Below are 23,124 nucleotides of genomic sequence, written 5' to 3' on the forward strand. Positions count from 1 at the left end.
TGAGGCAGGAGAATGGCGTGAACCCGGGAGGCGGAGCTTGCAGTGAGCCGAGATCGCGCCACTGCACTCCAGCCTGGGCGACGGAGCCAGCGAGACTCCGTCTCAAAAAATAATAATAATAAATAAATACCAAAAAATAAAAAATAAAATTAGCCGGACGTGGTGGCAGGTGCCTGTAGTCCCAGCTACTCAGGAGGCTGAGGCAGGAGAATGGTGTCAACCCGGGAGGCGGGGCTGGCAGTGAGCCAAGATCGTGCCACTGAACTCCAGCCTGGGTGACAGAGCAAGACTCCGTCTCAAAAATAAATACATAAAAATAAATAAATACGTAAATAAAATAAAATAGGATATAGTAACAAACATCTTTGCTTGGCTCTGGCATGCATTTGCATGGGCATATTTTGCCTACCTCTGGACTCAGTTGTGCTTCTACTCTCCCACCACCCACCCATGTCTCCAGCCCCTTCCCCCGAGTAGTCCTGCTGACAGGAGTCTGGGGGAGACTCAGCTGTGGGTGTAGAAGAGCCCAGACTTCTATTAATAGTAATCTCTAGGCCGGGCGCAGTGGCTCACGCCTGTAATCCCAGCACTTTGGGAAGCCGAGGTGGGCGGATCACGAGGTCACGAGATCGAGACCAGCCTGACCAACATGGTGAAACCGCGTCTCTACTAAAAATACAAAAATTAGCTGGGCATAGTGGCTCATGCCTGTAATCCCAGCTACTCGGGAGGCTGAGGCAGGAGAATTGCTTGAACCCGGGAAGCGGAGGTCACAGTGAGTGAGAATGCATCCAGCCTGGTGACAGAGCAAGACTCCGTCTCAAAAAAAAAAAAAAAGTAATCTCTGATAGTAAAGGTTTCTTTTTGTTTTGTTTTGTTTTTGAGATGGAGTCTCTCTCTCTGTCACCCAGACTGGAGTGCAATGGCACGATTTCGGCTCACTGCAACCTCTGTCTCTCTGGTTCAAGCAAGTCCCCTCCCTCAGCCTCCCAAGTAGCTGGGACTACAGGCATGTGCCACCATGCGTGGCCAATTTTTGTATTTTTTTAGTAGAGACGAGGTTTCACCATGTTGGCCAGGATGGTCTCGATCTCTTGACCTCGTGATCCACCCGCCTCGGCCTCCCAAAGTGCTGGGATTACAGGCGTGAGCCACCACGCCCGGCCCCTTATGCTCTTTTTGTATTTCAAGGGAATGCTATCGGTTAACTAAGGGACAAAACTTTACCACAGAGAGGCAAGCTCGCTTTTCCCAAGCCACACAGCACAGAGGACTAAGAAGGAGATTTTCAAAGCTCTGACTGTGCAGTCAGGTCTCATTGGGCAGCATTCACAGAGGAAGAGAAGCAGCCAGATGGGACAGGTACTGTAGAGACAGGCAGGGTGGGCAAGAATGTTGCTCTGGAGTCAGAAGCAGCTGAGTTACAAACCTGGGGACCTTCACATAGTGCACTCCTCAAGAGCAAGGCCAATGTCTTAATGATGTCTCTGCGTTTATTTGGACCTTAAACATGGACCTCAGGTGCTGAATAAATGACTCTTGACTTGTAGCGGTTGACTTGCATGACTGTCGTGTGGCCTGAAACCTCAGTTTCCTCATCTGTAATAGGATAAAAATGACTGCTAGCCTGGGAGCCCTCCTGAGTAGTTTGCTATCTGGGACGATTTTCATGCATCCTTCTTGGGAGAGATTTTTCCCTCCACAAATCTCAAGCTGCCTTCAGTCCTGTTGCCACATTGCTTAACTGAGAAAGTACAGGGAACAGAGAAGTAGATATCTCAGACCTGATTGGCTCCATTTGGTGACTAGATACAGACAGTGTCCTTCCCACCACCACGGCCAATGACTCTCCTGTCAAGAGGGCGCTCTGTGGAGAAGCAGAAATGCTGTGTCCGTGAGGGCTGTCTGGATGGCATGAGGTTTCAAATACCATATTGCAGTCAGGAGTTTTGGGTACTGAATCATGTATTTACTCATATATATATATGAGTATATTAAAAAAGAAAAAGATAGAGATATATATGTATGTGTGTGTGTGTGTGTGTGTGTGTGTGTGTGTGTGTGTATATATATATATTTGAGACTGAGCCTCACTCTATCGCCCACGCTGGAGTGCAGTGGCACAATCTCGGCTTGCTGCAACTTCTGCCTCCCTGGTTCAAGTGATTCTCATGCCTCAGCCTCCCAAGTAGCTGGGATTATAGGCAGCCACCACCAGGCCCAGCTAATTTTTGTATTTTTGGTAGAGACAGGGTTTCACCATGTTGACCAGGCTGGTCTCAAACTCCTGATCTCAGTGATCCACCTACCTTGGCCTCCCAAAGTGCTGGGATTACAGGTGTGAGCCACCGTGCCCAGCCTATTTACTCATATATTTACAAAACAAAATTAAACATCTGACCCTCTCAAGATTGACAACTACTCAGTACACTGATTTATGGACTTTTAATCACAACGTCTAAAACCAACCCCTGTTACGGGACAACCAGAGATGACTTGACTGCTGGCCGTTCAGGGCAGAGCCACCAGGTGCATGGAGGTTTCTAACAATACCAGCTTCATAAGTTTGTCATGAGGTAGCTTAGTCCATTTTTATTACTATAAAGGAATACCTGAGGCTGGGTAATCTATAAAGAAAAGAGGATTATTTGGCTCTCAGTTCTGCAGACTATATGGGAGGCATGACTCCAGCATCTGCTTCTGTCAAGAACCTCAGGAAGCTTCCACTCATGACAGAAGGCAAAGGAAGGAGACATATGGAGAGAAGAAGGGAGAGAGAGAGGGGAGAAGCTGCCAGGCTCTTTTCAACAACCAGCTCCCGTGAAAACAAAGAGTGAGAACTTACTCCCAGAAGACTGGCTCCAAGCCATTCATGAGCAATCCACTTCCATGATCCAAACGCCTCCCACCAGGCCCCACCTCCAACATTGGGGATCAAATTTCAACATGAGACTTGGTGGGGTCAAGCAATGCCATGCCATAAAGGTTTAAAGTCTGAAGTGCCTGGTACATAAAGACCCTCAATTATGATAGACTCCCTTATCCTCATTTTTCTTCTACTAGAGAAACAAATAGATGGAGAGTCACCTGTGTGCCCTCTGTTCTCAAGATGGCCGCCAGCCCCAGGCACTCTGTTGAGCAGCCTCAGAGCATCCTGTGAGGATGTTCATGACTGATTCAGCAGTTCACAGAGCACAACAAAAGGCTGTGGTATTTCTACCTAAAACTACTTTATGAAAAAGTGTTGTTTTCCAAATATACCCCAAAAGAATACCTCCATCTTCCGTTGTGGCAACAATGACCACTGTGTGGCTGGACTCTTCAACCAGGGAAAAGAGGAGTTGGGTTCTACCTCAGTTTACCCATCCCCCAGTTCATTGCCGACTTTTAAACTGATTTTGAGGGAGAAGAATGAGGCATCTGATTAATTAGGTCATCTTTTAATTGAATTCAAACTGTTAGGTGTGGAAAATTTAACAAGTGGTATCCAGGAGGTTGAGAACATTTTTTAAAATATTGTAGTTCGTATTAAATGTTTCCAAATGTAAGATCATCTTAGCTACATGAAGGAAAGATATAATTTAATATTGGTTGCATAGGGAATTTCATCCACTTGAAGGATTACATGCTTGACCCTGTGCCTTCCCATTTCCTAAGTGAACAAGTCCTTGGTCACAGAGAACCAATGCATGGAGCAGGTACAGTGCCTACCGCCACGCATGTGAGTCCACCAGCAATGCAAAGTCAAGGACAATACAGCTCCAAGTAACTGGAAAGCTCAACCAATTAGTTTTCTACTTAATTGAATCAAAGTCTTACTATTTTGAGGGAATATGTTTTTCATTCCGTTATCCTACATCTTGTCTCTTGCTTTTTACTGCAGGTGTCAGATATTTGAGTTTTATCAAATGGCACTAAAATAGGGGAACTCTCTTCTGAAGGCATATGCTGAGCACCCCTAGAGAACCTGCTGGTCTGGGATAACCTATCCCTCTGAGTCGGGGATGTCTTAAGTGTTTTTTTTTTTTTTGACCATAGCATTGAGTGATTTGGGAGCAGAAGGTATTCCTTAGACAGGAAATAGGAGCTCAATAGATGGCCCAAAAGAAGTGTCTGGATTACAAACGCAAAGAGACAAGAAAGTGCAGTCAAGCCAACAAAGAAAACGGCAGCTAACAAGACTGGTTGTGTCTCTTTAATGATACCTGGTCCCACTATTCGCCTGGAACAATACTAAGCTCACTGTCACTGTCACCCCCAGCCCCAACTTGTTTCTACTCCTGCATTTTCATTCAGAGAGTGTCTCCACCACCCACTAAATATTCAAGCTGCAGTGCCAGATCAGTCTCAGCTTTATTCAGTCAACCATCGAAACATCATTGCCAATATCCTCATTGTCACTGCCTCAGTTCAACCTCTCAATGTGTTCTTCCCACCTATTGTCAAGGCCTTCTAGCCTCCCAGCATCCAGCTTATCTCTCTGAAATGTATCCTTCAATGCAAGCAAATCTGAACATGCCTCTCTAGCTTAATTTGAGATCAGGTCCAAGCTCTAAAGTGACGCATAAGGCCTTTGCGAGTGATCTCCCACTTACGTTTTCAGGTATCTGCAAAGGCCTTTATCTTTACCCTCATCCAGCTTTACAGTTTTGGCCCTAGCATTACCAAGCTTGGATTTTCCTGCACATGCAGTGCTGTCTCTTGCTTTCATCTGTTTGCTGGTGCCATTCTCTCTACTTCAGATGTCCTTCTGCTTTCCTTTCTTTCTCTAGTCAGCTCTTACTTTGCTTTTTTTTTTTTTTTCTGAGATGGAGTTTTGCTCTTGTCACCCAGGGTGGAGTGCAATGGCACGACCTCGGCTCACTGCATCCTCCGCCTCCCAGGTTCAAGTGATTCTCCTGCCTCAGCCTCCCAAGTAGCTGGGATTACAGGCACCCACCACCACGCCACCACGCCCGGCTAATTTTTGTATTTTTAGTAGACACGGGGTTTCACCATGTTGGTCAGGCTGGTCTCGAACTCCTCTCCTCAGGTGATCCACCCGCCTTGGCCTCCCAAAGTGCTGGGATTACAGGCGTGAGCCACCGTGTCCAGCCTCTTACTTAGCTTTTAAGGTCCAGATCAAGCATCATTTCTTTTAGGAAAGAGTCCTAAACTTTCTCAGCCCACAACCCCTTAGTGTCCAATAATTTTTACATAGAGCCTGTGGGCCAACAAAAATACCAACAGTTCTGTTTATTTAGTAGTTAGATCTAAACACCTTAATAAGTATTTATGTCCTGGCAACTTAAGAGCTGTGTTAAAACACACACACACACACACACACACACACACACACACACACACTAAAATAATAATCACCTTTTTATTCTTAAATAACCACAGCTACTTACTAATGGGATGTGTGTGTCTGTGGGGCACTGCACAACTGCCCCAGCCTTAGGATCAGTTGGGGCACTGCCACTCTCATTGCCTGTTCCACATTGATTTTCGCTGGATACTTGGTTTTTATTACAACAGTTGCTAAAACTGCAGCTTCACCAAGATAGGACCTCAAGAATGCAGCCCAGTCTGATATTGTGAACTCTAACTACCTCAAGCTAGAAGCTTATGTGGTGTTCAACAGATGATGAGTATTGCTGTGTTTCTCTTATAACATTTAAAATATCCAGTGGCACCTCTTTGAGTCTGCTGTGGCGTTCTGACCTAGAGTAGCTTGGTGTACAATTTGAGAGCCTCAGGCTTGGGAACTCCCCACTACGGAGGTGGGCCCACCGTGAGCTCTCTTGACACCCTGCACGTCTCCGTCATGGCCCTTGGCATATTGCATTGTAAGAAGCTGCTTTTGTATCTGACTCTCTGAGGCTGTGAGCTCTCTAAGGGTAGGGACCATACCTTCCTCCTCTTTGTACATCCCGTGATAATTCAGGGGTTTTGTTTTTGGTTTTCATTTGGTTTCCTGATAAGCGTTCCTTAGGAGAAGAAGAAAAAAGAGAGTAGAAGGAAAAGAAAGAAGGGAGAGGAGGGAGGGAAAGAAGGAAGGAAGAAAGAGAGAGAGGGAAGGAGGAAGAGGAGGGAGGGAAAGCAGAAAGAAGGAAAGCTGCTTTGTCTCAGGCAGACTAACAGGAAAGCGACTTTTCCTTGCAAACCTCCTTCAAGGTCATGAGAGATATCTCTGTGACCCTGGGGCCAGACCAACCTTGAATTCAAAAATCCTCCAAGCTGAGGGCAGAAAGTAGGAAGAATCCCGCCGGAGCACTGCAAGGCCATTGGCGGGCACTGCTGTTCCCTCCCCTGTGGGAAGGACCACTGCTCACCTGGGTTTTTTTAATTAGCCATTGTGTTTCTTTTCTTTGTGCTGTTCTTCTCCATCCTTAGTAGGCAGGAGAGTTTTTACACTATTTCTTTTTCATATTCTGCTATAAATGAGCCCTACACATAATCAGGAAGGTTAGGGCTAGGATCAGAAGTCAAATTTAGGTTCACACATGACAAAACTTCAACAATTCACATTTCACCAGTTCTAAACAAGAAGGTTCCATTTAAATCACTGATTGCTGTAATTTGTTGCTATCATCCAATGGGTGCATTTTAGTTTAAAGGGATATGCCTCCTTTATCTTCTCGAGGTCTCAGACAGTGTCTGAGTAAACTCTCTGCCAAGTCCTGAGTCACCCGGAGGATAGCAGATGCGCAGACTCAGTCTGGGGTTTAGGGTCCACTCCGCATACTCCCACTTGCCCTTGGCATTGGCCCCATGGGTGGACCATGGAGGTGGGTGCTGTATGGCAACAGTCATTCCTCAGCAGAGTGGAGAGGGAGACACATGTTCTGCCGCGCCCATGTTCAGTCTGTTCTGTGGGCAGAGTTGTAGGAACACACTTAGCCCAAATCGATGCCAGCCTGGCAGTGGGTGAAGGGCCAGCAAGGTTTGTCTATGGCTCATGACCTTAGGGAAAATGAGATTTTACTCCTCGTGCAGCCTCCTGCCTGGAGAATTGCACACCCCTGTTTCAGATAGGTAACAGCTTTCTTGAAGCTTTCAAGAATAAAAATAAAAACTTTAAAGTACATGGCTGTCAGAAAGTCCCTCCTGGTAGCTAACTTGAGCCCTTTGTGCTTATTTTATCTTGGCCAAGCCTCCCCGGAGCATGTGTACCAGATACGATAACCTTCCACCAAACCAGGGACCTCTCAGATCTCGGCTTTTCAGAACAAAGAATTTGGATTTCCTTAGCCTTTCATCATCATCTCATCACCCAAACCTTTCATTATCTTTTTCAATTTTTTCTTTGAACTCTTTCCAAAACTTGTCTTTTGAGTTACAGAGACCATCACTTAATTAGATCTTTCATTTCCAGGGGATACTCCTAGTGCCTAGGAAGAAATAAATTAAATTTCACTCGGATATATTTCATTGGGGGAAGGGTGTAGAAAAAAAGAAATTGAATTCCTTATATAAATAGCACATTGTCTGGTGCCACAAATGCGTTTTCCTTTTCCCAGTTGTTTTTGGAACAATGGGTCCTTTTTTGGTGACTTTAATTCCTCAGAGATTCTAACCTCTAAAAGGTCATGATTTGTGTTGTTTTGTGCATACACGGCTTCTGTACTGAAAAAAAAAAAGCGAGATGTGTGGCCTCTGATTGTCTAGTAAGTCGTGAGGAAACAGACAAGGCTGCAACCCAGCAGCAGTTGAGCACCTTGTCAAAGTGTGGGAATGAGCGTGTGTGGGTCTCTGTGCTTCCAGCCTTTTCTGCACCAGCTGTTCCAAGCGGAGCAGAGGGGTCTGTCTTGCTTCTCCGTAACTTCATCAACCTGTAAGTAGGCTTGCCTTTTACAGTGCTGTTCTCATTAGCTGTGCAGACTTCCTTATCCTGATCATTTGGTATCTGTGCGCAGACTTTCATAGGGGAAGGGGATAGTCTTTAACTTGTCTTTCTGTGGAGCAGAACAACAGAGGCTGGCCTTTGCTCAGCCATCACCCCAGCCAGGCTGCTTTAAGCGCATTTCATCACTTCTTTCCACCTGAGTTTTTCTTTGTGTCAAATGAAGAAGTTGGGTTCACAGATGACCTCTGAGGTCCCTTCCAATCCAACCCTGCAATTCTCACAGCATCGGTCATTCTAATTGCTCCATAGAAGGGTAGGACAAGGAAGGAGGGGGTGAGTTTAGCAGCCAGTTGGGGAAAGGATGCTTGCAGAGTGTCAGTGTAACTTGGATTCCCACTCATCTCTTCTCTCTCCCAAGGATCCTGAATCAACGTAGTGTGAAGGGACAAGAGTGAGCACCTATTGATCACCTATGATAGGTCAGACACTGTCCAAGGCTCCTTCTCTACACTGGCTCATTTAATCTTTACATCTCACTATAGAATAGATGTACCAGGTGTTTTCCACATCAACGACCACCACGCGCCCCATCCACCCCACCCAGATGTGTCTACACCCTCAGATTTCACTTGAAATGTTCCATCCTTAGTGCAGCCTTCCCCAGCCCCTCAGACCAGGTTAGATCTCCCTGTCCTATGTTCTTATGTCCCCTATGCTTTCCCTCCATGGCACTTAACATCAATGTAATTAAATCATTATCTGTATAATTAATATTTACATGCCTACTAGACAGAAAACTCCTTTAGGGCAGGGATCACATAAGTCTTGTTCATTACTGTATTCCTAGAGCCTAGCACAGTGCTGACAAAATAGTTGAGATTCAATAGATGTTTGCTGAATAAATGTAAGCATGAATGCATGAATGAATGAAAGGATGGATGAATAGCAAGGCTAGATACAAATCCAGAACTATCTGGCTCTTGGAGACCTGTGTATACTTTAAGAAGAGCTCCACTTGTAAGTTTGTACACAGGGCTTCACTGCTATAACCAGCCTATGGATACTTAGCTACAGTTAGTCATGCTTTGAGTTGTTTCTCCAGAAGCGAGAATGATAGCTGCACTGCTCTGGCCATTCCCTTTAATCCACTGATACTCATCCTCAAAGATGTCTGTAAAATACTTGGAGATTATGGATCCAGCCTGGTGGTGGTTGGAAGTGGGTAGAGGGAGGCAATGAATTGATCCAAACCATTTGTCCTTGTGAGCTTTTAGCCCTATGTCTTAATAATAATTAGTACCAGCCTGGGCAACATAATGATATCCTGTCTCTACAAAAATAAAAAATTAGCCAAATATGGTGGCGTGCACCTGTAGTCCCAGCTACTTGGGAGGCTTAGGCGGGAGGATTGCTTGAGTGCAGGAGGTTGAGGCTGCAGTGAGCCACAATCATCACATCACTGCACTCCAGCCTGGGTGACAGAGTAAGACTCTCTCAAAAAAATAGAAAAAAGAAAAAAGAAAACCATCAGCACCACTTCTAATACTTTCTGCCAAAGGGGCTGAAAACAAGAATCTGCTCTGTCAGGGATCTGGGTCACTAAGAATGAGTGGGTGAAGAGGAAGGAGGAAAAACCAAGACATGACAACCTTTAGAGAAGCAAAAATAAAACTCTAATGTGGAAACTGCTGAAAATAGACTGCCTGGGCTGTCAGACTGCATGCAAATCTGATGCTAATCACATGGAAATTAATTACAAGTCCTAACTTCCATATGTCTTGATATGACCCTTGGGGGAAAACCTGCTGCAGGTGTCTACTCCCCACCACAGAGGATTGAGTGGAACACAGGCTTTGATGTCGCCTCCTTCACACTCAGCTCTTGCCACTGCAGGGAGAGGAGGCTAAAAATATTAACAATAGAAATTTGATTTCTTCTTTCAGACAAAAAGCCTTGGCATCCACGGGAGGAAGAAGTGTTCAGGCAGCATGTGACTGGTTGGTATGAGATAAATAAATTGAGAAAATAGCATATAATTAACTCAAAGTGCATGTGGATGAGTGGGGAGGTGCAGACTTTCTCTAATGGACCCTTCCAGAAGAGACAGGAGCCAAAAGACTGTGGCAAGTGCGTTTATCAAGTCAATTGCCTCCTCTGCCCTGGCCCCAGGGTATGTTTCTCCTTGGAGCTGTTTAAAGAAAATTCTAAGTAATTCCCAGATAGAGCCTCTCTCATAAGATCTGTCCCTGCTCCAGTCACTTAAAGATTCATTTTAGGGGTATGGATATTGAGAAAATCCATTTAGAAAAGTACCCTACTTATCTTCCAGGGTATCCCTACCCAGGGTGGGTCCTACAAGGTTACCTCTCTGGGAGCTTCCCTTGTCTTTGGAGGGACATGGGTTTAATTACAGGCTGACCTGAGGGACAGGCTGGGTTGGTCCTAGTGGATTGGGAAAGGATTTGGAGTTGATCCAAGAATGCTTCCTGGAGAGCGGTTTTAGGACTTTTTTAGGGAGTTGTAGGATGAGGAGGCAAAATGACAAGAAGGAAGACAGAAGTTGCTGCATCTGAGAATTGGTTATGAAGTGTGAGTTTCCAGAAGTAGATTTTTAAATCATGAATGAAAACCCTTCCCCGCGCTGTGCCGGGGATTTGGAGCACATGGAGGGTGGATCTGTCTCTCAGTTCTTTTTTCCCCTCCCATTATTCTCAAGCGACACCTTGTTGGCTTACTTCTGTCTTACAGGTTATTCTCCCATGTCGGTGACCCCTTCCTGGATGACCCCCTGCCCCGGGAGTACGTCCTCTACCTCCGTCCCACCGGCCCCTTAGCACAGAAGCTTTCCGACTTTTGGCAGCAGTCGAAGCAGATCTGCGGGAAGAACAAGGCACACAACATCTTCCCCCACATCACACTCTGCCAGTTCTTTATGGTGAGCGGCAGCGCCCCCACCCCTGGGAAGCCTGGCTCCTAGGATCCCAGCCGGCCCTTTGGGACCTGGAGCAAAGGGAGGCCTCGCAGGAAGACAGCAGGAATAGTCACAGGCTCCTACAGCTGGAGGGACCTTCAAGGGATCAGTGAGGTCCACAATGGGCCCCTCACCCCAACGCTTCCTAGTTTTATCTGCTGAGGCCCAGGAGCACCCCAGGATGGGGGCAGCACCAGATTGTAACCCTCTGTGAGGGACACACTGGTCTGGCTGCTGGAATAGAATCACTGATCTAGCTTCACACCTGTTTGCTGTCTACCCTCTCCACTCTTACGACAAGCAAAGAGGAGGAACTAAGAGCAGGGAACAACAAAGGCAGTTTATAGACAGGGAAAGCCATTTCCTGTCCACAAGTTTTTTTTTTCCCGCTATATATTTCTAGAGAATGCAAAGATATTTACTTGCCATTGTTACCTAGTGTATAATCCTAGCTGTCAGAAAGCTTATCTACTGACCAATTTTTGTTGTTGTTGTTGTTTTGAGACAGAGTCTCACTCTGTCACACAGGCTGGAGTGCAGCAGCATGATCTCGGCTCACTGCAACCTCCACCTCTCGAATTCAAGCGATTCTCCTGCCTCAGCCTCCCAAGTGGCTGTGATTACAGGCATATGCCACCATGCCCGGCTAATTTTTGTATTTTTAGTAGAGACGGGGTTTCACCATGTTGGCCAGGCTGGTCTTGAACTCTTCACCTCAAGTGATCCGCCCACCTCAGCCTCCCAAAGTGCTGGGATTATAGGCATGAGCCACCATGCCTGGCCTCTACTGACCAAATATAATCCCCCTCACTATCACACATGTAAATACATTTTGTCTACTTTAGCTCTCTGTGGTAATAGAGAAGAGTTGATTTATCTCCATATATTCAAGACCAAACAAAGTGGTAGCATTTTAAACCATTTTTATAAAAAATATTTTGCTTTCTTCCCCAGATATATTCTCTCTCTTTTTCTCTCTCTCAGGTAATAATAATGTTCCTAACACCTTCTCTTTTACCATTCACTCTGAAAATTAAAGTGACTGTCATTTCCTCTTAGTCATCCCAGGATCTTTCTCAAAACCCTTCAGAGTTTGAGAGACGTTCATTCTTTTTTCCAATGCTCTCAGGAAGGTAGGAGGATGATGTCACAGCTCTCTGGGACTCATTCTTCCCAACTATCATGAGGGTGGATGTAGAGTCAACTTCTGATCATCTAAGAGGAAAAGAAAAGTACAGATGATACAAAATAGTAGAAAACACGCAGCTTCTCCTGGGATGCTGCACTCTCTCCTGTCACATTCCTTCATTTTTTTTTTTTTTTCACAAGCAAGGAGAACTTTGATTTTTTTTTTCTTTTTCTTTTTTTTTTTTATGGATATATAGTCTCTCTCTGTCACTCAGGCTGGAGTGCAGTGGCGTGATCTTGGCTCACTGCAACCTCTGCTTCCCGGGTTCAAGTGATTCTCCTGCCTCAGCCTCCCAAGTAGCTGGGATTATAGGCGTCCGCCACCATGTCTGGCTAATTTTTGTATTTTTAGTAGAGATGGGGTTTCACTATGTTGGTCAGGCTGGTCTCAAACTCCAGTCCTCAAGTGATCTGCCCGCCTCAGCCTCCCAAAGTGCTGGGATTACAGGCATGAGCCACTGCGCCCAGCCTGATTTTTTTCTAATTGATAAAAATTATATACATTTATGGCGTATAACATGATGGTTGAATATATGTATGCATTGTGGAGTGCCTAAATCAAGCTAATTGTACATGCATTACCTCGCATGCTTATCAGGCATTTGTGGTGAGAACACTTAAACTCTACTCTCTTAGTAATTTTCAAGCATATAATATGTTATGATGAACTATAGTCACTGTGCTGTACAATAGGTCTCTTGAACTTATTTCTCCTAAGTGAAGTTTTACGTCCTTTGACCAATATCTCCCCAATCTCGCTCCCCTTTCTTGCTTTCGGCTCAACCAGTCCTGCAGCATTTTGGCTGGGTTCACGGGGGCCACTTCACAGCAAGGAAAGGAGGGAAGAGGTCATGTGTTCCCCACATTAATCCACCAGTTGGGTAATCTGTGTCTGAATAATTGGAAGTCTGCAGTTCCTCTCTCCCCACAGACAGGGGTAGTGGTTAAGTAATTGCATTATCAGCCTCCTCCAGTCTCTGGGGAGAGGATGCCAATGTTAAGTAGCAGCAGACTTCCATCTCCCCTTGTCTCTGAGTGAAGACTGCCTGTTTTCCCTGCCAGTGCGAGGACAGCAAGGTGGATGCCCTGGGGGAAGCCCTGCAGACCACGGTCAGTCGCTGGAAATGTAAGTTCTCGGCCCCGCTGCCCCTGGAGCTCTATACGTCGTCCAACTTCATCGGCCTCTTTGTAAAGGAAGACAGTGCGGAGGTCCTCAAGAAGTTTGCTGCTGACTTTGCTGCAGAGGCTGCATCCAAAACCGGTGAGCAAACAGCTGCCAGGCCAGCCCTGGGCCCTGTCAATCAAAGAGTTGGAAAGGAAAAAGGATAGGAAATAGTGGTAGAGGAGCAGGATGGGGTCAGGAGGTGGAGGACCCTGCAGGAATGGACGTGTGACAAAAAAACAGCCTTTTCCTGCAGCACCCCACGTCTTGCTCCCTTGTAAAAACGTTCAACCCCTCTTCTGCTGACCTGGAGAGACCGTCTAAGGCTTATTCCCTAACACCCAAGTTGAAGTTTCACAAATGACTTCCATACTGAACTAGAAATGTATTTCTTTGTAGCACCACCATCTCCTCCTAATTCAGAATTAAAGAAACATCCTTTCTCCCTCCCAAGCTCCCGCCCATGTAGGTGTTTATCTGGGTCTCATTGTTCACTCCATGACAATCCAGATCTTTTCTCAGTGGGTAGCAGAGGATAGAGAGAAGAGTGGAAGCACTTCGTATTATATCACAATAAAATCCACTGAACCAATACCCTTCAACTTGCTGAAAACCATTAGACAGGACCCCAAGCCCCAAGAGTCTGTCTAAAAATGTAACCCCTTCCAAATGTCTCCTGCTCTTCTCATGGGAGCTCTTAGTTCAGGACACCTGAGATTTCCTGTCAAAGGAATTAGCTTAAGGGGGTGCTCAAGGCAGGAGACACGATGGAGGTGAAAAGAGGGAGAAGTTTGCAAAGCTCTCCTGTCTGACTACAGGTGTGGACAAGCTCACTTAGCTCAATGACAGCAGGGAAACAGACAGACAATCTGGTGGGGGGAGAGCCTCTTGGCTCGCTCCAGCATGAAATCACAATTGGCAGGTACTTACTGGTCACCTACTATGAGGATTTCTCCTACATGAGGAGTGCTACAGGGAAGAGAACAAGAAGTGGTTTCTCCCGGCCAGGCCCTGTGTAACATCAGCTCTGAAAAGAGAAAGGGGTGGTTCTACCTTCACGGAAGGAAGGAAACTTGCCCTGGGACGATGTTGATCAGGACAATGGAGGAAAGGCCTGCAGGCGGGCGGGTGGCAGGAGCACAGGCAGGCAGGCATGAGATGGTGTGAGCAGAGGACAGTGGGGAGGCTGCCCTGACCAGAGTGGATGGTGCAGGATGCACAGTGGAAGCCGAGTGCTGAGTGCAAAGCTGGAGGAGACGTACAATTCCCCTACCCCTAATTTTAGGGAGTGCCAGAGAGGGGGAAGACCTGAGCAAGGCCGCAGTTTGCTCCTTAGCCTTTTGGCCTTTGGCCTATCCCTCACCTGCCATTGTTCCCTGCTGCTATTTTCATCACCATCTCAGGCCCTTTGTTCCATATTCCTCTTTACCAGAAAAGCACCACACAGGACTTGGGACCTATGAGTGGGATCGGGGCTCAGTATCACTGCAGGATCACAGTGCTCTCGGAAGGAACACAAGGACCTTAAGACCCCTCTGTACCTGGGGAGGGGTCCTCTTTAGACTTTGCAACCCCCACCCCCACCTCTTCCTCTCCCTCAGCGACGGGACTAGTCTCCGGGTCCTGACTTCAGTGAAGCCTGACATTTCATAGGAGCTTAATATTTCAGAGAAAGAGCATAACTGAGAGGCAAATTATTTCCTGCTCTTATCCCTCAATCTCAAGGAAATGGCTTTCTCTCATCCCACAGTAGTTATTGTCAGAACCACTAAATCCCCACAAGGACCAAAACTAATGTCAAAGCCGCAAAACCCAAATCCTTCACAAATGAGAAAAGCAAGCCTCAGCCAGGGCCGCACAGATTCTTGGAGTGCATACTGAGTGAGCAGCAGTCGAAGCCCCAGCTTTCCCTGTGGGACGCGGGTGGAGCCAATTCCTCTCCAAGATCCTGCTGTCATGAAGAACTTGGCCGGCTTCGTTTCTCTGCTGTTGTGTGGCCCCCTGGTGGGGATGTGGAGAACTGGATGACCCTGCGCAGCTTAGCTGGTCCCGCTCCTTATTACCCAGCATGGGAAGCCGGCCACCATGTCTTTGCCCTGGAACTTGGTATTCTCCAGTTGTTGGCAGGACCAGATATCATCAAGTAGATTTAGTGTCTTCCTCCATTTGAAGTGGTCAAGGGAGATTCATTCATGTGCATTTATTCATTTAACAAGTACTGAAAACCTGCATGATATGCTGAGTAAGGATACAGTGTAAGCGAGAGACAAAAACCTTGTTTCATGGGGCTTACACCAAAGAAAGGCAATGCAGTATAAAAGAAAAAGTACTTAAAACCGAAATGCTCAATTTCTAGTTCTATCTTGGGCCACTAATTCTCTGTGTGACTTGACCAAGTTCCTTAAATTCTCAAATTCCCTAATTTCTTCTAGTTGCAACTTCTTCATTATTCTAGTTTGTACAGTAGATGATTCTCCCTCATTGTAAATACAAAAGAGGCCAGGCATGGTGGTTCACACCTGTAGTCCCAGCTACTCAGGAAGCTGAGGTGGGAGCATCACTTGAGCCCAGGAGGTGGAGGCTGTGGTGAGCTATGATCATGCCACTTAACTCTAGCCTGGGCAACAGAGAAAGACCCTGTCTCAAAAAAAAAAAAAAGTACCAGAGAGAGAAAAAAAAGCCATTCCCTCCTATAGGTAGGGTTGTTTTGTTTTGTCTCTTGGGATATCTTAGAATAACAGTCTGTATACTTTAAACCAGTATGTCTCAACTAAGGGTGATTTTGTCTCCCAGGGTACATTTGGCAATGTCTGAGGTCATTTTCAATTGTTACAGCTTGGAGAGTGCTGCTGACGTCTTGTGGGTAGAGGCCAGGGATGCTGCGAAACACCCCATCATGCACAGGACAGCCACCCCCCCCAAAAAATAATTATTCAACCCAAAATGCTGTTGAGAGAAACCCTGCATTAAACTTTGAAAATATCCATCTTTTCCCCTCATTTCTCCATCAATCTCACCCAGAAGCTAAGACACGTGATTCCAAAATGAAGGGAATAGAGCTTTGGGAGTCACGCAGCTATAAAACATGCTTTGTATTTCTACACAAATTATTTCATCACTGTAGGTCATAGTGCCCTCTTCTGAAAGGTGGGGCTGGTGACCACCAACTGGAATGTTGTGAGAAGGACTTAACTAAAAGGACTGCCCTCAGCTGACCCGCAGCTCCTAGAGGAAAGCCGTATGGTGGCTATCTCTTGAACAGTGGCTTGATTCGGAATCTCTTGCCATCCCCTTACCCCCTTATTCTACTGCTGTGAAGGAGAGAAACGTCTTTTGTCTTCTTTGTTATGTGGGAAGCAGAATTTCTCAGGGTACCTTTCTATGCCTTTCCTTAAGTCTTCACCATTGCTATCATCACCACCTTTTAATTACTGACCTTTTTCTTCCTTTTTCCAGAAGTGCATGTGGAACCTCATAAGAAGCAGCTACATGTGACCCTGGCTTACCACTTCCAAGCCAGCCACCTACCCACCCTAGAGAAACTGGCCCAGAACATTGACGTCAAGCTAGGGTGTGACTGGGTGGCTACCATATTTTCTCGGGATATCCGATTTGCTAACCATGAGGTAATGTCTCACTGTGGTTCCAGAAGCTACCAGGTGCAGGGATGCAATCAGAATCAGCAGCTCGCTGCTGCAGGGAGATGGGTACCTACAGGGGAAAAATGGAGCAAGCACCTAACAGAGAGTCCGTTGGCTCAGGATTGTGTCCAGCCTCTGCTTGCCTCACTGGGAGGCTTCCAGCTTGCCTCCCTCCTCTCTGGGTCACAAGTGGTTCATCTGGGTAACATCCCCCTAGTTCTGTCTCCCCTGCCAATCCAACTCCAGCAAAAAAGAAATGAAATGGGAGAGAATAAATAAAAAATATATTGGAAAATTTTTAATATTATATAAATTTATGGTGTTAATGGAAGACATCATTTTGACCTTAGGTGAGTTGAAGAACATATAAATACCAAAGAAAACAAAACAAAAAACAAAAACACTTGCAAAGACATAATCAACAGATATTTGCTGTGTATCTGTATCATGCAAAGTACCATGGAGCATACTGGAATTTTTAAATGTTGTCCTGTCCTCAAGGAGCTTTGAGAACAGACACACATGAAAAGAAAACTCAAGTCACCTCTTGTGAGAGTTTCTGCACATCCCAGTGGGAGGCCTGAGTGAGAAAACTGAATTCCATCACAAGAAGAAAGATTGGTACACCCCTAGCACCCTTCCTTTGAGGGAATCAACATTGCCTTCTAGACAAGTATGTGACATCTTGGAAGCATAATATTGCCTTTTTTTTTTTTTTTTAAATGGAGTTTCATTCCTTGTTGCCCAGGCTGGAGTGCAATGGCACGATCTTGGCTCACTGCAACCCCTGCCCCTGGGGTTCAAGCGATTCTCCTGCCTCAGCCTCCCTAGTAGCTGGGATTACAGGCACCCGCCACCACACTGGGCTAATTTTTTGTATTTTTAGTAGTGCCGGGGTTTCACTGTGTTGGCCAGACTGGTCTTGATCTCAGGTGATCTGCACGCCTCGGTGTCTCAAAGTGCTGGGATTACAAGCGTGAGCCGCAGCACCTGGCCAATAGTGTCTTTTTCTATCCTGAAGGAGAAGCTGAGACACAAAAAACATTAGTGTCTTAGTAATTTAGGGCTAGAGATGAAGCAAGAGCCCATGTATTTTGACCAATAAAGAAGGGCAACCTGTCTGAAACAAAACTACATCATAGCCAGGCATGGTGGCTGTCACCTATGATCCCAGCACTTTGGGAGGCTGAGGCAGGAGTATTGCTTGAGACCAGGAGTTCCAAACCAGCCTGGGCAGCATAGTGAGACTGTATCTCTACCCACCCACAAAAGACCTCATCGTTTGTTAAAAATGTGCCTTCCAACTTAACTACATTTATTAAGCAATACTTATATTTGTTTCCCAATTTTTCAAACAGCCAAAGAACTGGTATTTTTGTTAGTTTACATAGCCTTTTAACATCTCTTTTAGACTTCTTTAAAAAACAAAACATGAAAAACAGTTAGAACCCCAGGGCTGGGAGCAGGCAAGCTCATTGTTTTGGAAGTGGTAGAAGAGCCAACCCATGAGTCAGAGGTTCAGGGTTAAGCATGCGCCTGTGAGTGTCAGGGGCTGCAGTTTTGTCTGACTCTGCTGATGGGAACGTGATGTCCTCCTTTTGAGTCATTTGATGCAGGTTTCTGTAAGATGCCTTGAGCAGACTGGGCCTGATCTTATTTAAGAATTCTGACATCTCCTAGAGTCACGTAGAACGAACCCTGAAGATAACAAGGGAGGTGTGACTGGTTGGACTCCTTCTGAGGGCAAAGAAAAAAAAAGTCAAGGGTTGCGTGCAGATGGCCTCTGAGAAGTCACCTTTCTAAGAGAAGGAAGGTGGCAGTGGAATTTTACAAGGAATATCCTCTAATCAACACTGCCCTCCAGTTAACTCAAAGGGTAATTGCTTTTCTGCCTGACCCACATTCTGCTCAATTGGCATGGAAGGAAAAAGGCAGCAAGCGCCCACGGGAATTATTTTCTAAAAATAACTTGGCCTCTTTTATCTCTTATTTGTAAAAGCTCATTTATTACCGTTCGTTCTGATAAAGCTCTCCTCGGCCCCTTTGGACTGGACCTCTCCCGTGAGGTCTTTCGGTCCTACCTGAGCCGTCTGCACACGTAACCCTCTTCTTGCCTGCCTTCTTCAACATGCCCCCAGGAGGCAGTTTTGATTGATTGTTCCAGTGAGGGAACAGATGTCCAGAGAAGGAGAGTGGTTTAGGCAAGGACACTCTGGCAAGGCACCGTGATGCTTAGGAAAACTCCAAGGCCTCATTCCTCTGCTATTTAGATTCTCACTCGATTTGGACACGCGAATCCCATTTGTATTTCACATGGGCTCTTCCGTGTTAGTGATTACATTGGGCCATGCCAGTTTAATATACCAACCGATAGAAATCCAGAGGAAGGACAGGGTGATCCAAAAAGCATCAATTTTGGAGTCTAGCACACTTGGCTTCAAATCCTGGCTCCATCACTTTAGCAAGGGTTAAATTCACTTTGACAACTTATATAAATCTCCAGTCCTTAGTTTTCTCATCTGTAAAATGGTGACAATGTTTTGCTAGATGGTTATGAAGACTAAATAAAGAAGATGTATGGAAAGGCTCTAATGTAATACCCAGCACAAGGTGGGTGCAACAGCAACGAAAAATTGCTGCAGCTATTATTGTGAGTGAGAATAAAAAGGGCTCCAAAGGCAGTTCGGCTCTTGTATTCACTCAGGGCTGTGGCTGCATTTCATTCAGCAAACTGAGTTCCATCCCATTGTAGTAAGGAGGAAAAACATACCTGAGGTGGATTCAAGAGGTTTTTTGTTTTTGTTTTTGTTTTTTGTTTTTTGTTTTTGTTGAGACGGAGTCTTACTCTGTCGCCCAGGCTGGAGTGCAGTGGTGCAATCTCGGCTCACTGCAACTTCCGCCTCCTGGGTTCACGCCGTTCTCCTGCCTCAGCCTCCCAAGTAGCTGGGACTACAGGCACCTGCCACCACGCCTGGCTAATTTTTTGTATTTTTAGTAGAGACAGGGTTTCACCATGTTAGCCAGGATGGTCTCGATCTCCTAACCTCATGATCCGCCTATCTCGGCCTCCCAAAGTGCTGGAATTACAGGTGTGAGCCACAGTGCCGGTCCTGGATTCAAGAGTTCTTATGAGTACAGGCCAGGCACAGTGGCTCACGCCTGTAATCCCAGCACTTTAGGAGGCCGAGGCAGGCAGATCACCTGAGGTGAGGAGTTCGAAACCAGCCTGGCCAACACAGTGAAACCTCGTCTCTACTAAAAATACAAAAATTAGCCAGGTTTGGTGGTACACACCTGTAGTCCCAGCTACTCGGGAGGCTGAGACAGGAGAATCTCTTGAATCCGGGAGGCAGAGGTTGCAGTGAGCCAAGATGATGCCACTGCACTCCAGCCTGGGCGACAGAGCGAGACTCCGTCTCACACAAAAAAAAGAGTTCTTACAAGTAGATGGCAAACATAAAACAAAAGAATAAGTAGAATGTAATATAAATTAGGCATGTGTTCTCACATCTTTCAAACTTAGGCTAAGGTTTTGTATCTGCTTTTGGTGAGTGAGAAAGGGCATTGGGGACATGGGTCCCAGTTGTAATTTTAGATTTGCTACAATGCCTTAATTCTTTTATTGTTCATTCAATAAATCGAAGCTACTTATTGTCCAGCTTCCCTATGCCTAGGACATATTTGTCTGTAACCTTAGCTGTGCCTCAGTTTTCCTGGGGATAACCTAGAGATAGAATGAATACCCACCCCCGCTCCCCCCCCACCGCCCCACATGATAGAACAAATGAGGACTTCTCTGAAATCGCATGAGTTTCTCAAGGGAAAGGCACTACTGGGCCAAAGGCATTATTAGCCAAGACCATGCTGTGCTTGAACATTTAAGGAACACAAGTTTAGGCTTGTTTCCCTGTGACTCGGTGACTTTCTCCACTTGTCCCAGAAAAAAAAGAATGTTCCTTTTCATGGGACGTCACACATTTAGCTTTGCAGTTTATGAGATTTCGCGTGAATTGTTTTTCCCTTTAAGCTGATTTAACAATCCCACAGAAAACCTTCCTGGCTTGTTTGGGGAGGTGGTTTGAGTGTGTATGAGGCAAAGGGACAGGAAGAATAAGGAGGCAATCAGAGCAGGGAAGACCTAGAACTGAAAGATGCTGAAGTCAGAATTAGGGAAACAAACAGGTGCCCTACATAAAAGGAAAATCGGAAATGCAGCGGTGCAAATGAGCTCTCTGCACAATCACTCTCATCCTCTGAAAAGAATCACACCTTTACTGGCTCCTTTCTTTAGCGATTTCCAGAAGGAAATTCTCTCTTTATAACATGTTCTGGTGTATCACCTTGACATCAACCAGCCAATTAGTTCACAGGCCTACCCAGCACAGAGTCCAGGGATCAGGGTCGGCTGGAAGGAAGGATGTGACGTGGGAGATCAGGTGCTCTGGTTCTGTAGAAATAATTATGCCCCTTCGGTGCACAAGGCTCTGTCCTAAGGTGTTTTCTTAGATTGTCTCATTTAACTTTTATGGGCTTAAGTATTATTTTATAGATGAGGAAACTGAAGCCTGAAGCCAAAGTTAGAAATATGCAAATGGAGACCAGAATATTTAGCCTTCAACTAACGGCTTTGAGACCCTAGAAAACAGTAAAAGCTGTTAAAGCTTTCTCCGTCTTTGTGTCCCTTGTGAAACAAATAAGATAGGAAATATTTTCCTTACTATTGAGGTCTCCCACTATTAGTAACAAAAAATACTAAAATAAATGTTCTCTACAGTACCTTCATGCCTATACCTGTGATGTTAATACATACCAGGAAACGAAGGCAAAAAGAAATAAAGAATAAATAGCCAACTGGCATGGCCTGTTTTTGGCCTGGGGGCTGTTTCGGAGCCCAAAGTAAGAACGTTTTCTCCATCTGATGAAAGCTGGCTACATGCTGACATAGACACTGATGTCTAGACATTTTTCTTTCAGGATCTTTGTTAAAACTATAGGTTTAAAGAAAACTCCTTTAAGGCAAGAACCATGTCTGGTTTAAAGAGCTAAGTTGGCCGGGCATGGTGACTCACACCTGTAATCTCAGCACTTTGGGAGGCCAAGAGAGGGGAATCACCTGAGGTCAGGAGTTCGAGACCAGCCTGGCCAACATGGTGAAACCCTGTCTCTACTAAAAATACAAAAATTAGCCAGGTGTGGTGGCGGCCGCCTGAAATCCTAGCTACCAGGGAGGCTGAGGCAAGAGAATCACTTGAACCCAGGAGGCAGAGGCTACAGTGTGCTGAGATCATGCCATTGCACTCCAGCCTGGGCAACAAGAGTGAAACTCTATCTCAAAATAATAATAATAATAATTCATAAATAAAGAGCTATGTTACACAGAAAGGGGGTACTTCATTCCCTGAGCCTTCCTGGAGGAGAGACACTCCACCTGGCCCCTCTGTAACCCCCGTATGGAAGACTGGCTTTCCATGAGCTGGGTTTCAGGTGTCTATCATGGTGACTATCAGATGAAGCAAGGGAAGCTAGGTCCATGTCCATTTATACAGCAGTTGGCCAGAGAGCCTACAGGATTTCAGGTCAATTTCCAAAAACGATACTTGAATCCTGATGGGAAATCTAGACATGCCTGAAGAAAAGTATGAAACCATTTCTAGCACCAGGCATACACCGTCAATACCCTGAAGAGAGAAGTGCTCTCTGATAGGAATTCACATCTACTCAGGGCCTGCAGACCCCAAGGGCTCCTGGGCACATCGCCCTCTGGAGGTGTGCAGTATTAATGCAGAACATACAGTCCTGCCCTCAAGGCGCTCAGGAGAATGGTGAGGCATGGGGCTCACTCACCCTCTCTTCCTTTTCCAGACATTACAGGTCATCTACCCCTATACCCCACAAAATGACGATGAGCTGGAGCTGGTCCCCGGGGACTTCATCTTCATGTCTCCAATGGAGCAGACCAGCACCAGCGAGGGTTGGATCTATGGCACGTCCTTAACCACCGGCTGCTCTGGACTCCTGCCTGAGAATTACATTACCAAGGCTGATGAATGCAGCACCTGGATATTTCATGGGTAAGCAGACACAAAGACCTTTATGCCATTTGAAGAATGTTGCTAAGGCAGACTGGATCCTGGATACACAGGGCAGCAGTAAATGGAGTCCATGGGAAGAAGGCCCTGTGGATTCCAGAATTCCAGGAAAGGAGCTGATTTGAGGCATGGGGAAAATGCGAAATGGATTGCTCTGCTTCCCTCTGCCTGCCCCATTTGCCATGGTTGTCTGCTTCAGTTCCTGATCAGAGACTAAACTGAGGTGGCTTGGGGTCCATCTC

General features: G+C 45.9%; 1 protein-coding gene across 4 annotated transcripts in view; it reads left to right on the forward strand.

The window, feature by feature from the left end:
* The window catches only part of UBASH3B (ubiquitin associated and SH3 domain containing B), a 158,752-nt gene that overhangs the window by 110,723 nt on the left and 24,905 nt on the right, over positions 1-23,124 (forward strand). Inside the window, exons 1-6 of one of the 4 annotated variants that reach the window (XM_005271712.4) lie at positions 1,136-7,819; positions 9,775-9,828; positions 10,580-10,766; positions 13,053-13,251; positions 16,609-16,778; positions 22,656-22,864. In XM_005271712.4, coding sequence (XP_005271769.1) covers positions 7,575-7,819; positions 9,775-9,828; positions 10,580-10,766; positions 13,053-13,251; positions 16,609-16,778; positions 22,656-22,864 — 1,064 coding nt within the window. In that variant the 5' untranslated portion in view covers positions 1,136-7,574. Of the gene's footprint in view, positions 1-1,135; positions 7,820-9,774; positions 9,833-10,579; positions 10,767-13,052; positions 13,252-16,608; positions 16,779-22,655; positions 22,865-23,124 lie in introns of those variants that run through there. The other 3 variants (XM_011543041.3, NM_001363365.2, NM_032873.5) reach the window with 3 other exon arrangements.

Source organism: Homo sapiens, chromosome 11 (assembly GCF_000001405.40).
Source record: "Homo sapiens chromosome 11, GRCh38.p14 Primary Assembly".
NCBI classification, from domain to species: Eukaryota; Metazoa; Chordata; class Mammalia; order Primates; family Hominidae; genus Homo; species Homo sapiens.